Source organism: Homo sapiens, chromosome 14, assembly GCF_000001405.40.
Source record: "Homo sapiens chromosome 14, GRCh38.p14 Primary Assembly".
Lineage (NCBI taxonomy): Eukaryota > Metazoa > Chordata > Mammalia > Primates > Hominidae > Homo > Homo sapiens.
This window is the reverse complement of record NC_000014.9, coordinates 92,007,616-92,022,307: the sequence shown is the minus strand read 5'-3', so window position 1 is coordinate 92,022,307 and position 14,692 is coordinate 92,007,616. Positions and strand designations below refer to the sequence as shown.

Sequence of the window (14,692 nt, the reverse complement as noted above, 5' to 3'; positions counted from 1 at the left end):
TTACCTCAGATTCATGGTGCATTTTAAGCCTACATCCAGCCATAATCAGTTACACAACACCCTTGTAACAGGAGATATTCTAAGAAAATTTCCAGTGCATAGACGGACACAGCTTTCATTTTCTCATCATTTAAGATTTGGTAATCACAAACAGAACCCTAAGAAATTGCCTATACTACTCCATGCAGAGAAGATAGCAAACCCATGTTTAACTGAGAAATTCATTGCTTTAGTTAACATACAAAATTCTGATATTTCTACTATTTGTAACATTATTTATGCTTTAATTGTGAGTGTGTTTTAAATAAAAATGTTATGGTTAGAATGTTATATAAGACTTAGATTCAGTTGATAGAGGACCATCATTGGATAATCTTAGACAAATTATTGTATTGTGTCTTTTAATACAAATCTATAAAAAGTCAATATGATTGTTTTAAAGTACCTTCTCTAAAACTTGGATTATAAATATATAGGTAGAAATCAGCCATCTTAAAGCCAGACAGATTGCACTCCAGGATCAGTTGCTGAAACTGCAGTCAGCTGCTCAGTCAGTACCTTCAGGAGCTGGTGTACCAGCAACCACTGCATCATCTTCATTCGCTTATGGGATTAGTCATCATCCTTCAGCTTTCCATGACGATGACATGGACTTTGGTGATATAATTTCATCCCAACAAGAAATAAACCGACTCTCAAATGAAGTTTCAAGACTTGAGTCTGAAGTTGGCCATTGGAGGCATATTGCTCAGGTAGATAAAAATTTTTTAGAGTTTTTGAAAACTTTGAGTAAAATTACTGGTGTAATATAAAAAACTGTATGTAGAGCTTTTGATATCAGAAAGAACCCTGGACTAGGAAATAGAAAAGGTGTATTCTAATTCCGTCAGTGACTTTCTTTCTTTTTTTTTTTTTTTTTGAGACAGAATCTTGCTCTGTCTCCCATGCTAGAGTGTAGTAGCGTGATCTTGGCTCACTGCAGCCTCGGCCTCCTGGGTTCCAGTGATTCTCCTGCCTCAGCCTCCTGAGTAGCTGGGATTATAGGCACACGCCACTATGCCTAGTTTTTGTATCTTTAGTAGAGATGGGGTTTCACCATTTTGGCCAGGCTAGTCTCGAACTCCTGACCTTAGGTGATCTGCCCACCTCGGCCTCCCAAAGTGTTGGGATAACAAGTGTGAGCCACTGCGCCTGGCCTCTGCCAGTGACTTTCTTTCTTTCTTTTTTTTTTTTTTTTTGAGACAGAGTCTTACTCTGTCACCGAGGCTGGAATGCAGTGGCACAGTATTGGCTCACTGCAACCTCCGCCTCCCGGGTTCAAATGATTCTCCCGTCTCAACCTCCCAAGTAGCTGGGATTATAGGTGCGTGCCACCATGCCTGGCTAATTTTTGTATTTTTAGTAGAGATGGGGTTTCACTATGTTGGCCAGGCTGGTCTCAAACTCCTAACCTCGTGATCTGCCCGCCTTGGCCTCCCAAAGTGCTGGGATTACAGGCATGAGCCACTGCGCCTGGCCTCTCTGCCAATGACTTTCTAAGTGATTTTGGTCCTGTCATCTTTCTCTCCTAGTCTGAGTTTCCCTTTCTGTACACTATTTGGAAAAAATTTTCAAAAAAAAGCAACAGATCCTTTTTTTTTTTTTTAATAAAACATGAGAGGAAAAAAATTGAGTTGCTGTGGTTGAACCAAGAACCTTCTCTTCTGGAGTCCCTGAGACTCCTCTGGTGTAAACACCAGGACTCCGAGGCACCATGTTTGAAACCGCTTGCTTAGATGTTGTCTGAGGTTTCTGCTAGCTCTAGTTACATGTAAAATGAAAATCTGGTAATTGATATTATAAAATATGATAAACCATTTTGTGTTGTTTCTCATGCACTAGAAATTAATATTTTGCTATTTGGGGCTGTAAACTTTCTTCCAAGGAGCCCTTTTTTGTCTTATATATCAGATTTTATACAGGATGAATATCTCTTATCCGAAATGCTTGAGACTAGAAGTGTTTCAGATTTTGGATTTTGGAATCTTTTCTTGTTCTTTCTTTTCTTTTTTTTTTTGAGAGAGAGTCTCAGTCTGTTGCCCAAACTGGAGTGCAGTGGCACCATCTCAGCTCACTGCAACCTCTGCCACCCGGGTTCAAGCAATTCTCCTGCCTCAGCCTTCTGAGTAGCTGGGATTACAGGCGCCCGCCACCACACCGGGCTAATGTTTTTTTGTACTTTTAGTAGAGATGGGGTTTCACCATGTTACCCAGGCTGGTCTCAAACTCTTGACCTCAGGCCGCCCAAAGTGTTGGGATTACAGACATGAGCCACTTCATCCGGCCAGATTTTGGAATATTTTCATAAACATAATGAGATATCTTGAGGATGGGACCCAGGTCTAAACATGGAATTCATTTATGTTACATATAAACTTTATACCCATAGGTACTTGTGAAGGTAATTTTATACACTATTTTAAGTAATATTATATAACTTGTGTGTGAACCAAAATTTGCGTTAAATATTTATGTGTGGAATTTTCCACTTGTGGCATCATGTTGGCACTCAAATGTTTCAGATTTTGGAGCATTTCAGATTTTGGATTTTTGAATTAGGGATTCTCAACCTGTATACTATGGAAATTGTAGACATGAGACCTGGAGTAAACTGGAACACTGTTTATTTGGATTTAATTTCATCAATGTAAAAAAAAATTACATGAGTAAAGAGATTATTTTTTGTGTTTTTATGAATGTAATCTAGTTATGTAAAGGAGAAATCTTCCCACTTAAAATTATCTCCTTCTTTCACAAGTTGCTAGACATTCTCAGTACCCAAAATAAGCTTTAGAGAGGATGATCTGTTTGTCCATCTTATCTCCAAAAAGCAGTAAACTTTCTATGTATAAGAAATGACCTGGAGAACTTGGCAGTATTGTAGATCTTCTGTGGTACCTTCAGGGATATCAATTTGTTAGCCAGTTTTAGGGCCTTAAACTGCATTTAAACAAATAGCCCTGGTGATTCTGATAACCTAAGGAACACATTTTAAGAAACATTGTTAGAGTAAGATTTCATAGGGAAGAGAATGGTTTTTGGTGTGTTCATTTCAGCATATCTTGAATGCCTACTCCATGACAGACCTGTACTAGACTATAAAGTTGAAAAAGGCATAATTGGGACCGTTCAGAGGACTTAATTTTCTAGCAAGACGTAATAAAAATTAATATTTGCATTACATTTTATGTTTCCATATGTATTATCCCAATATATTATTATGTTAATAATTATGAGATAGATGTATTACCTCTATTTTATAAATAAGGAAACTGAAAGTTTTTTTTTTGTTTTTTTTTTTTTTTTTTGAGATGGAGTCTTGCTCTGTCTACCAGGCTGGAGTGCAGTGGTGGGATCTCGGCTCACTGCAACCTCTGCCTCCCAGGTTCAAGCAATTCTCCTGCCTCAGCCACCCAAGTAGCTGGGACTACGGGCACCCGCCACCACTCCCAGCTAATTTTTTTTTTGTATTTTTAATAGTGACGGGGTTTCACCTGTTGGCCAGGATGGTCTTGATCTCTTGCCCTTGTGATCCAGCGGCCTTGCCTCCCAAAGTGTTGGGATTATAGGCATGAGCCACTGTGCCCAGCCCTAGGAAACTAAAAGTTTAAGTCATATAATCCATTGCCACAGTGGTTAAGTTATGATTCAAACACACGTGTTTTGACTAAATCCTGTATTTTTTCTATTATACTTTATTCTTTCTTTCAGTCCTAGAGTAGCTTTTGGTTCATTAAAATGCTACATAGTAATATTAATAAAGATAAATGAACAACATACAGCTTTGAATGAGAAGAATCCAAAAGTTGTTTTATTTATTTATTAAACCAAAGATTATTCTCTATTGGGTAGAGATCTTCTGGGTAAAATCATTTGATTTTGCCAGGCATGGTGGTTCATGTCTAATCCCAGCACTTTGGGAGGCCAAGGCAGGAGGATTACTTGCAGCCAGGAGCTCGAGACCAGCCTGGGCAACATAGTGAGATCCCATCTCTACAAAAAAAAAATTAGCTAAGCATGCTGGCATGTGCTTGTAGTCCCAGCTACTTGGAAGGCTGAGGTGGGAGGATTGCCTGAACCCAGGAGGTGGAGGCTGCAGTGAGCCATGATCACACCACTGCATTCCAGCCTGAGTGACAGAGAAAGACCCTGTCTCAAAAAAAAAAAAAAAGAAAGGAAAAAGAAATTTCCTTTTAGAAAGCTGCTCAATTATCTTTACCCTTACATTTTGTCAAGCTAAGTAAAATATTCTATAAATTTTTCTACCTTAACTTTAGTTATTTTGTAAAACTGTTGTCCCCCCCATTAGTTAATACATTCTTAAATATGATATCTTTTATTTATTGTGTATTATTCACTATTAGACTAGGTTCTTTAAAAGGTCCATGGCATTCTTTAGTCGGAATCTGTGAAAATCCCCCTTTTTACAAAAGTATTCTTGTAATGAAGTTAGTTTGTGACTTTCTGTTGACAAGAAAATCAGTATAATTATTTACTAATTCTCTTTTTCTGATCTAGACTTCCAAAGCACAAGGAACAGATAACTCTGATCAAAGTGAAATATGTAAACTACAAAATATCATTAAGGTAAGTCAAATTGTTGATTGATGATGGGAGTTATACATCTAAATCTGCTTATTAAAAGCATAGGCCTGAATTAGTAAAAGTCTCAGTTATAAAAGTCATTATCATTATATAGATTATGGTACTTCTTTTTCTTTTAGAGATAGGATCTCACTGTGTTGCCCTGGCTGGAGTGCAGTGGCATGATCAGGTCACTGCAGCCTCATACTCCTGGGTTCAGGTGATCCTCCTGCCTCAGCTTCCCATGTAACTGGGACTACAGGCACACATGCCACCATGCCTGGCTAATTTTTTCTGATTTTTTTTGTATAGATGGGGTTTGCTAATGGTGCCCAGGCTGGTCTGGAACTTCTAGCCTCAAGCCATCCTCCTGCTTCAGCCTCCCACAACGCTGGGATTCCAGGCATGAGCCAACGCGCCTGGTCCATTTAAAAATATTTTTTTTTAATATTCTTTATTATTTATGTAAAGTATATAAAAATCTCTGTCTTTCCAGAATCATTTGGTTTTGAACATTTATTACGGAGCTTATCTTTCGTAAGTCTCTATACTCTATTGTATCTTGTAAAACCGTCTTTATTAAAACCTAATTGCAGGGTTGCTGAAGTTTCAAGGTTTAGAGTTAAAGGATATGGACAAAATAAAATACTAATATCATGCATTGGAAATACTTATTTTACCTTAGCGGTAGAATTTCGCTAGTTTGTGTCAATTATTATTTCTTTAAAGAAAAGTCTTAGTTGCATATATTATTGTGGCAGTGAATTATTTTTAGTGTTAAAATTATTGTCAGATATAGAATTTTTAGTTTTGGGTTCATTATTATTACAATACTAGAGTGGATAGAATCCGGATCAGACCTGTGTTTGAATCCTGGCTGTATTATTTACATGCTATGCTAATCTCGGGCAAGTTACTTCTGTTTTATTATCAATGGAGACCATGATAATACCTATCTTGTAGGATTGTTTTGAGGTTTAAATGTAAAGCTCTTAGCCCAGTGGTGGCACATAAGTAAGAAGTTAATTTATAGATTAGGATCTTTTTTTTTCTTTTTTCCATAAGAGCATCAATTTTTCTGTAGATTAGGATTCTTGGTTACAAGCAACAAAAACCATCTCTGGCCAAGTAAAGCAAAAGAGGATTTACTGGAAGAACCCAGGGTAGTCCATCCGCAGGATTGAAGGAGGAGTTGAATGTTTTGGCCTCAGGTTGGATAGGAGTGGGAAGAGTGTTAGGAATCTGGGTGGCGGGACCCAGTGGACAGACTCTTGAGAGGGCACCTGTCCTGGTGCTTCCCGTCAAACCAGTTTCCCTAGTCGATGGACTCAGCTCAAGATCCAGGTTCCTGCGAGAGACACAGTGGGCTCAACTTGGGTAGGAAGGCGCCAGGTTGACAGTTTGGGAGTCCCAATAAGACTGGTGAAAGGAAAGGCTGAGTGAGAGGATGGAAGTAGTGGAACAGCAGGTACAGATTGGTCAGAGGGGTGACACTGGTATTGGCAGAAAGTGTCATTAGGAAAAGGAGAAGTTCATGGTCACAGATATTAAGGAAAAGACATTTTTACTTATCGTTTGTTTTAGCCTTTTCTTGCTGATGTTCCCTCATTAGAAGTAGAAAAACTGTTTTTGAGACCTAAGAAAGGAAAGGGTGAAGTTGTTCAGAATAGTCCTAATTTTGGGTCTGTGTTTAAATTCTTTTCAGCCTTAACATGTTCTGAGAATTCTTTTTAATAATGCACACTTTTGGACAACAGTTAAATATATAGCTTACATAAATTTATTGATTATAAATGTGAATAACTTTGTTTTTATTTTTTAAGGAACTAAAACAGAACCGAAGTCAGGAAATTGATGACCATCAACATGAAATGTCAGTACTGCAGAATGCACACCAACAGAAATTGACAGAAATAAGTCGACGACATCGAGAAGAATTAAGTGACTATGAAGAACGAATTGAAGAACTTGAAAATCTGTTACAACAAGGTTATTAGTTTTATTTCTTTATTATTATTATTTTTTTTGAGATGGAGTCTCCATCTGTTGCCCAGGCTGGAGTGCACTGGCGCGATCTCGGCTCACTGCAACCTCCGCCCCCCGGGTTCAAGCGATTCTCCTGCATCAGCCTCCCAAGTAGCTGGATTACAGGTGCCTGCCACCATGCCCAGCTAATTTTTGTATTTTTAGTAGCAATAGGGTTTCGCCATATTGGCCAGGCTGGTCCCAAACTCGTGATCTCGGGTGGTCCACCCACCTCGGCCTCCCAAAGTGCTAGGATTACAGGCATGAGCCACTGCACCTGGCCAGTTGATAGTTTTATTAATTTAACATATTAGATGACATAACTAAATGATAGACCTAGCATTCTAAGACCAGGACAGTGCTGTAAACTTGCCCTAAGTTATAAGGAAGTGTAAATGACTAGTTCTGCTTATCTGCCAGAAATTTGCAGTGGCACCTCTGCTTTTAAGATTCTGTGGCCGGGAGTGGTGGCTTATGGCTATAACCCCAGCATTTTGGGAGGCCAAGGTGTGTGGATCACTTGAGGCCAGGAGTTTGAGACCAGCCTGGCCAACATGGCGAAATCCCGTCTCTACTAAAAATACAAAAATTAGCTGGACGTGGTGGTGCTCGCCTGTGGTCCCAGCTACTCAGGAGGCTGAGGTGGGAGGATCACTTGAGCCCAGGAGGCAGAGGTTGCAGTGAGCCGAGATGGCACCACTGCCCTCCAGCCTGGGCAACAGAGTGAGACTCCATCTCAAAAAAAAAAAAAAAATTCTGTGAAAATGGAAATGTCCTTTTTACCTTTGTGGTAAATAGTTATAATTTATAGATTTCTTTGCATTGTTTGGTGATGATACTTTGGTAATAAATGATTAGAGATATTATCACTTTCTTTCAAACTAAGATACATAGGCCTTTATGTAGTTGATTCAAATATTTTCCCCCAACTTATTTATTTTAAAACACTTAGTTTATTATAGTAATTTAACTTTTAAGCTTTCCAAATTCTGAACTGTCTTATATCTCTTAGTTGTATATAGCAAACCGTTTATTTCTTGGTACTTGACATTTGATGTCATTGTTTTGTGTTTATGTTCTAGGTGGCTCTGGAGTTATAGAAACTGATCTCTCTAAAATCTATGAGATGCAAAAAACTATTCAAGTTCTACAAATAGAAAAAGTGGAGTCTACCAAAAAAATGGAACAACTTGAGGATAAAATAAAAGATATAAATAAAAAATTATCTTCTGCAGAAAATGACAGAGATATTTTGAGGAGAGAACAAGAACAGCTAAATGTGGAAAAGAGACAAATAATGGAAGAATGTGAAAACTTGAAATTGGAATGTAGTAAATTGCAGCCTTCTGCTGTGAAGCAAAGTGATACTATGACAGAAAAGGAAAGAATTCTTGCCCAGAGTGCATCAGTGGAAGAAGTGTTCAGACTACAACAAGCACTGTCTGGTATACAGTCTTTGGAACTTATTTCAGATTGCTGTTTCATTGCATAGTAGTTGTTTTTAGAGACAGATGCTTCACTAACTGAATACTTAGTGGAAATGGCATATTCCTGGAAATGACTGTGTGTCATTTGGGTAGAATTGTGTGGTTTGGATTCAGTGTAAGAGTTAATAGATTGCAAATAGGAATTTCCTATTAAAAAGGATTAGGTATTGCTATACTTTCTGTAACTCATCACAGCCCACATCCTCCAGTTAGGGAATACAGCCTTTCTTCTTCAAAGTCAGTTGTTACCTGTTTGAAACGATCTCCTATATCCAAGCAAAGCCCTGAGTGCTTAGAGCCATAGGTCTTCCACCATTTTCTATGCTCATGATGATATTTAGTTACTGTACCAGTATTCTGTGTTACAGAAAATTAGTACTAAATGAAATAGGCCAAACACCAGTAAATAAAATAAATTTTAAAGTAATTGTACTTACGTTTTAAAAAATAAGTTTACTTATTTAAAAAATAAATTTACTTACATAAGACTAATACATTTACTTACTTATCATATTGGGTGATCCAGATGAGTTTATGTGCTTAAAAGACAAACCCACTGCCTTAGTCCTTCCTCTTTTTTCTATTCCATTGACACAGAATTACTTCAGCCAGTCATAATTGCTTTTTGCCTATGTTAACTATGGCAGCTCTCTGAATGGAGCAGAATAGCGTAGTGGTTAAGGACATGACTGGGTTGGAATCGAGCTCTATCACTAATTAGCTGACCTTGGACAGGTTAACATCTCTATGCATTGGTTATTTCATCTATAGGGTTGGGATAATAATGGTATCTTCCTTGTAGTTTTAGTAATGAGGATTATATGAGTTACTTTCTGCCGCTCTTTAGGATAGTGTCTAGCCAATAGTAAATGTTGAAGAGTTAGCTTTTTTTTTGTTTGTTTTTTTGAGACAGAGTCTCGCTCTGTAGCTCAGACTGGAGTGCAGTGGCACGATCTCGGTTCACTGCAACCTCCACCTCCCGGGTTCAAGTGATGCTCCTCCCTCAGCCTCCCAAGTAGCTGGGACTACAAGCATGTGTCACCACGCCCAGCTAATTTTTGTATTTTTAGTAGAGACAGGGTTTCACCATGTTGGCCAGGATGATCTCGATCTCTTGACCTCATGATCTGCCCACCTTGGCCACCCAAAGTGCTGGGATTACAGGCGTGAGCCACCGCCCCCAGCTGAAGAGTTAGCTTTTAAAATTCTCTGTTCTCCATGATTCCTTCAATCTATTTTTTTCATTCTGCAGCCAGAATAATTTGTCAGAAATGCAAAGCAGGTTACTCCCCTGCATTTAGTACTTTATAGCTGCCTGTGAACTTCGGGATGATGTTTAAATTTCTTAGTTAGACATGATAATGTCTCTCATGATCTAGTTCCTGCCTATCTCTTCAGTTTCAACTATTCCCATGCTCCTGACATTCTAAACTTGAACCATATTGAATTTTCTATAGCTCCTTAAAGCAGCAATGTTACCTCTTCACTCTGTTACCCTTGCATTTTCTGCTTTCTCTGTGTGGAGTGTCTCTATGGCTCTTTTAGCCGACTCTCAGTATATTGATTCAGTGCAGGTATTAACCTCCACTGAGAAGTACCTAGCACTGCCACTTCTTGGCCCCATTTGCTCCTCCTAATCTAGATTAGGTGTTTACCCTGTTTGTTCTCATAGCACCTCGTGCTTGCTCTGTCATACTATGTTATAATCCTGTGCTTACTAGTTTTTCTTCCTCTCTGAATTGTAAGCTCTTCGAGAGCAAGGGCTAAATTTTACCAGCTTTTTGTCTAGCACCTGGCCTCATAGTAAATGCTAAATATTTCCTGAGTGAATGTTGAATCAATGATTTCAGCTGTGTTTTTTTGTGTACCCTCTTCTTTTTATAGATCTATCTATAATACCAAATTGAATGGTCTTTTTCTCAGCATTCATATCTAAATCACGTTAGATAATTGAGAGATTATGGTATTGTGGTGGTTTAAATATACATAATAAAATACTACTTTTAAATTGTTTTCCTCCAATCTTAAACCATGTACTATTTCCTGCTTCTCAAATGAATCAATTCATTTTGAAACCTGGTTGTCATTAGCATTTTTATCAAGGCAATAACTTGTGACTCATCTACAATACAATTTCAATTTTTTCTTATGCTTATCCATAGACTTGGATTTTAATGTGGTTTTTAACTGGCATTTACATTATGATTTATTTGATATGACAAAACAGGAATACAAATATATGTTTCACTCAGAACTGTTACTGCTTGCCAGTGGTGCTTATATACACTTTAATTGGGTTGCATTTCTGAGTTTAATATTGAAGATAATAAGTTACTCTAAATAATTTTAATGTCAAGTTCATTTGCTGTTTTTACAGATGCCGAAAATGAAATAATGAGATTGAGTAGTTTAAACCAGGTAAATTAATTTTGACAAATGTTATGTGCATAGAGACAGTGGAAGCAGATCCTATACCAAGTGAGAAATGAGTTTTAATTTTCCTTAAGAGATTCAAAGAGTTGTTTCTTTTTCTAATAATTAGAAGTTATTTTGTAAATATATTTTTATATTTTTCCAAGCATAATAAGGAAGTCTTCTGTAAGAGTGTCGAAAATGCATGACTGGTTTCATTCGTTTTAGACACTTTTATAAGTGTTGCATTCTTTTTTTTTTTTTTTTTTTTTTTTTTGAGACGGAGTCTTGCTCTGTCACCCAGGCTGGAGTCGCGATCTCGGCTCTCCGCAACCTCCACCTCCCAGGTTCAAGCGATTCTCCTGCCTCAGCCTCCCGAGTAGCTGGGATGATAGGAGCGTGCCACCACACCCGGCTAATTTTTTGTATTTTTAGTAGAGACGGGGTTTCACTGTGTTAGCCAGGATGGTCTTGATTTCCTGACCTTGTGATCTGCCTGCCTCAGCCTCCCAAAGTGCTGGGATTAACAGGCATGAGCCACCGTGTCTGGCCAAGTATTGCATTCTTATAATTACTACATATCATTAAAGAAATACTGAATAGAAACACACAATTGTATAGATTGCCAGCTTTTTTATAAACTGGAAATTTCTTGTTACCTGAAAACACTGCTTTAACATTTTTGTAGGATAACAGTCTTGCTGAAGACAATCTGAAACTTAAAATGCGTATCGAAGTTTTAGAAAAAGAGAAGTCATTACTGAGTCAAGAAAAGGTGGGTGCTGTAAAAATGGGGGCAGAATTAAAATGGTATGTGTAACAGGTCACAGCCAAGGGCCAGTTGATATCCAAATGGAATGTTGAGTAATTGAGCTCAAGTCCTTAGAATAAAGCTGATCTCACTGATGCTTTTCAGGCTAGGTGGAAGTACCTGGGTAAAGTTCAGAGTATAAGTGGCTGGCTTGAGTTCGTATTTAGAAATAAGCTAGTAGGCACACAGAATCAAGCAGAAAAGATAGGTGGAGGTCCTGTTTTGGTTTCTGATGATGTCCTGACAGCAGGAACATACACAGGTAGGTCAGGAGGTCTGGAGTAGCATACTGTAATAACTGTATATGCTGCTTGTGTGCTTCAGAATGTGTCCATTTTGGTGGACAGTACTTTCTTAGTGGTGAGGCATAAAGAGCAACAGTTTCAGTGGTAGAAAGAAGTTCTATTTTTTTTTTTAATGAGATGGAGTTTCGCTCTTGTTGCCCAGGCTGTAGTGCAGTGGCGCAATCTCGGGTCACCGCAACCTCCGCCTCCCGGGTTCAAGCGATTCTCCTGCCTCAACCTCCTGAGTTGCTGGGATTACAGGCGCCAGCCACCACACCCAGCTAATTTTGTATTTTTAGTGGAGACGGGGTTTCTCCATGTTGGTCAGGGTGGTCTCAAACTCCCGACCTCAGGTGATCTGCCCACCTCGGCCTCCCAAAGTGTTGAGATTATAGGCGTGAGCCACCACGCCTGGTGAAAGAAGGTCTTTATAGGGGTACAGAGCAACAGTTTCAGTGGTAGAAAGAAGGGCTTTATTGTATGTATTCATAGCAAGGAAGGAATAAGATTCTGAAAGGGAAAGGTATTTAGAAGTATTTTTATGTTTGAACCACTTTGGGGAAATTTCTTGGCTAAGGCAGGTGCTTAAATATAGGAGAGTTGTAAGCTAGTATTATTAAGTTAAAGGCCAGTGTCTTAATTTAAATTCCTAATTTTAAAAAGTGATGCATATTTTCTGATATATGTGTTCAGAAAACATACATACTGAAAACCTTCGGATAGTACAAGTAGAGTATCTTTTGTACCTCTGTGGCTTGGCCTCTTTCCCAGAGGCAGTCTCTGTTACCAATTTCTAGTGTTTCTTTCTGGACTATGTCTATGCATGTATGATTGTATGTATCAGTAGCTTTAAAAAATACAAATGTCAGCATATTATAAATATCCTTTTTACATACCATATTTCCAACATCTTTCCACATTAGTATATATGCAGTGTTTCTCAAAGGGACTGCTATTGGCATTTAAGCAGGAAAATTCTTAGTTGTGGGCACTACACTGTGTATTGTGGGATTCTTGCTGCCACTCTTTCTACCCACTATGTGCCAGCAGTATCTCCCAGTCGTTTTAAAAATTACTATATTATATATATTTTATCTTTCCTGTTTTTGCTCCCATTGTATTCTGCTCTTTACCTGACTGACCTAGTCGTTTGTAGTTTGCAGAACTCTCTGCACTTACCTGGCAGGGCCTGTAACCTTTTCATGATGTGTTTGGTTTCTGTAGCTTGTCCTGATAGCTGTTTCTCCTTTCTTTTGATGTTAAAGTAGTCCATTGTAACTCTTCCTTGAGTTGTGTCTGCTTACTGATTAAGAATACCAAAAGTGCCTATGAGGGCCGAGTGTGGTGGCTCACGCTGTAATCTCAGCACTTTGGGAGGCCAAGGTGGGATGATTGCTCAAGGCCAGGAGTTCGAGACCAGCCTGGGCAACATAGTGAGACACCATATCTACAAAAAAACACTAAATAATTTTTTTAAAAAGTACCTATGAGGCTGTGTGTGCTTTTAAGATCTACCTAAAGAAAATGTCTGTGATTCTCCTAATTTGAACAGATAACTTTAGAAAGACTTAAGAGAATGCTGTTTCCATCTTTCAGCTGTAGTTAGAATAAATTTTTGAATTAGAAGGAAATAAGAATTGTGATACAGATACTCTAGTATAGCTTTTATCGGATCTCTGTTTTTTCAACCAACTCTCCATAGCAATGTTGAGTTTCTTTTATAAGGTTTATATTAGGCTGTTTCTTTGAAGGAATTTGAGATTCTTATTTTTTTAATTTTATTTTTTAGAGAGAGAGAGTCTTGCTGTATTGCCCAGGTTAGAGTGCTGTGGCTGATCATGGCATGATCATAGTGCACTACAGCCTTGAACTCCTTGGCTCAAGTAATCCTTCTGCCTCAGCCACCTAAGTAGCCTCCTGGGACTATAGATAAATGCCATCATGCCTGGTTCAATACTCTATTTAAAGTAGATTCCATATGGGTTTGATTTTTAAAAATCTGTCAATGAAAGAAGGCTTTAATATATAGTTTATTACAAACATCATAACTAGAGACTGAAATAATGTTGAAGCATAGAGAACTGTCCCACTTCTGAGATTTTGGAGAAAGCATTAAATACCAGGTAGTAGACTATAAAATGTATATATACTATCTTTAGGAATGTCAGGTGTGACAGAGGGGAACCTAGTCTGGTTAAAAGGTAAAGGAAGGAAGGAGGATTCTTTCTAGGGTCAAGAAAAAGTTCCATGTTCTAACAGAAGCAAAAGTAATAAGGGAAATTCCTTTAGTAAGAGAAAAGAAACCTTTTATTTTCTAATTAGAGAGGCTAAACATTTGGGTGAAGGAGTGTTGATTTTTTATATTTTTATTTAGTCTGAGGCTGTTGATGACTGGATGTTAGAGAATGGAAGTGAGGAAGGCAGAAAGACTTGCGGACATTTTGGAAAGTATGTATGTATGGTAGGTGGGGCCAGGGGATGGATAAAGGGTAGCCACGGTGGAGCAGGATAGGAGAGGCTCTCAAATGGGAACGTTTTTTATAAAGAAGAACTTGGTGCTAGAGGACAAACTTACAGTCGCTGCATCTGTCTAGGGTTATAGAAATGTTTTGCTTGAAGCTACAAGTAAAATTGCACATGAATGAAGGATGTGGTTTGTTGAATTTCACATACAATTATTGAGGTATTGTTCAATATTATTTCCAATATAGAGCACTTAAATAGAATCCCAAGTTTTGCTTCTATGTATGTTTTTAATCTTTTGGTGTCTCCAATTGAAAGTATGTGTTGCTTTTTTCCTTTTATCATTTCAGGAAGAACTTCAGATGTCACTTTTAAAATTGAACAATGAATATGAAGTAATTAAAAGTACAGCTACAAGAGACATAAGTTTGGATTCAGAATTACATGACTTAAGACTTAATTTGGAGGCAAAGGAACAAGAACTCAATCAGAGTATTAGTGAAAAGGAAACACTGATAGCTGAGATAGAAGAATTGGACAGACAGAATCAAGAAGCTACAAAGGTAACACTGTATTAAATACAGTAA

At 38.1% G+C, this 14,692-nt stretch overlaps 1 protein-coding gene across 5 annotated transcripts in view; it reads left to right on the top strand.

Moving 5' to 3' along the window:
• TRIP11 (thyroid hormone receptor interactor 11) overlaps positions 1-14,692 on the top strand; it is a 74,069-nt gene that overhangs the window by 17,752 nt on the left and 41,625 nt on the right. For 4 of the 5 annotated variants that reach the window (XR_943560.3, XR_001750598.3, NM_001321851.1 and 1 more), the window contains exons 4-10: positions 477-752; positions 4,558-4,626; positions 6,447-6,612; positions 7,731-8,093; positions 10,513-10,553; positions 11,236-11,322; positions 14,456-14,668. Coding sequence is in view for 3 of the 5 variants with exons in the window: in NM_001321851.1 (NP_001308780.1) it covers positions 477-752; positions 4,558-4,626; positions 6,447-6,612; positions 7,731-8,093; positions 10,513-10,553; positions 11,236-11,322; positions 14,456-14,668 (1,215 nt within the window). In the remaining 2 variants the exon portion in view is untranslated. Of the gene's footprint in view, positions 1-476; positions 753-4,557; positions 4,627-6,446; positions 6,613-7,730; positions 8,094-10,512; positions 10,554-11,235; positions 11,323-14,455; positions 14,669-14,692 lie in introns of those variants that run through there. The other variant, XM_047431935.1, reaches the window with a different exon arrangement.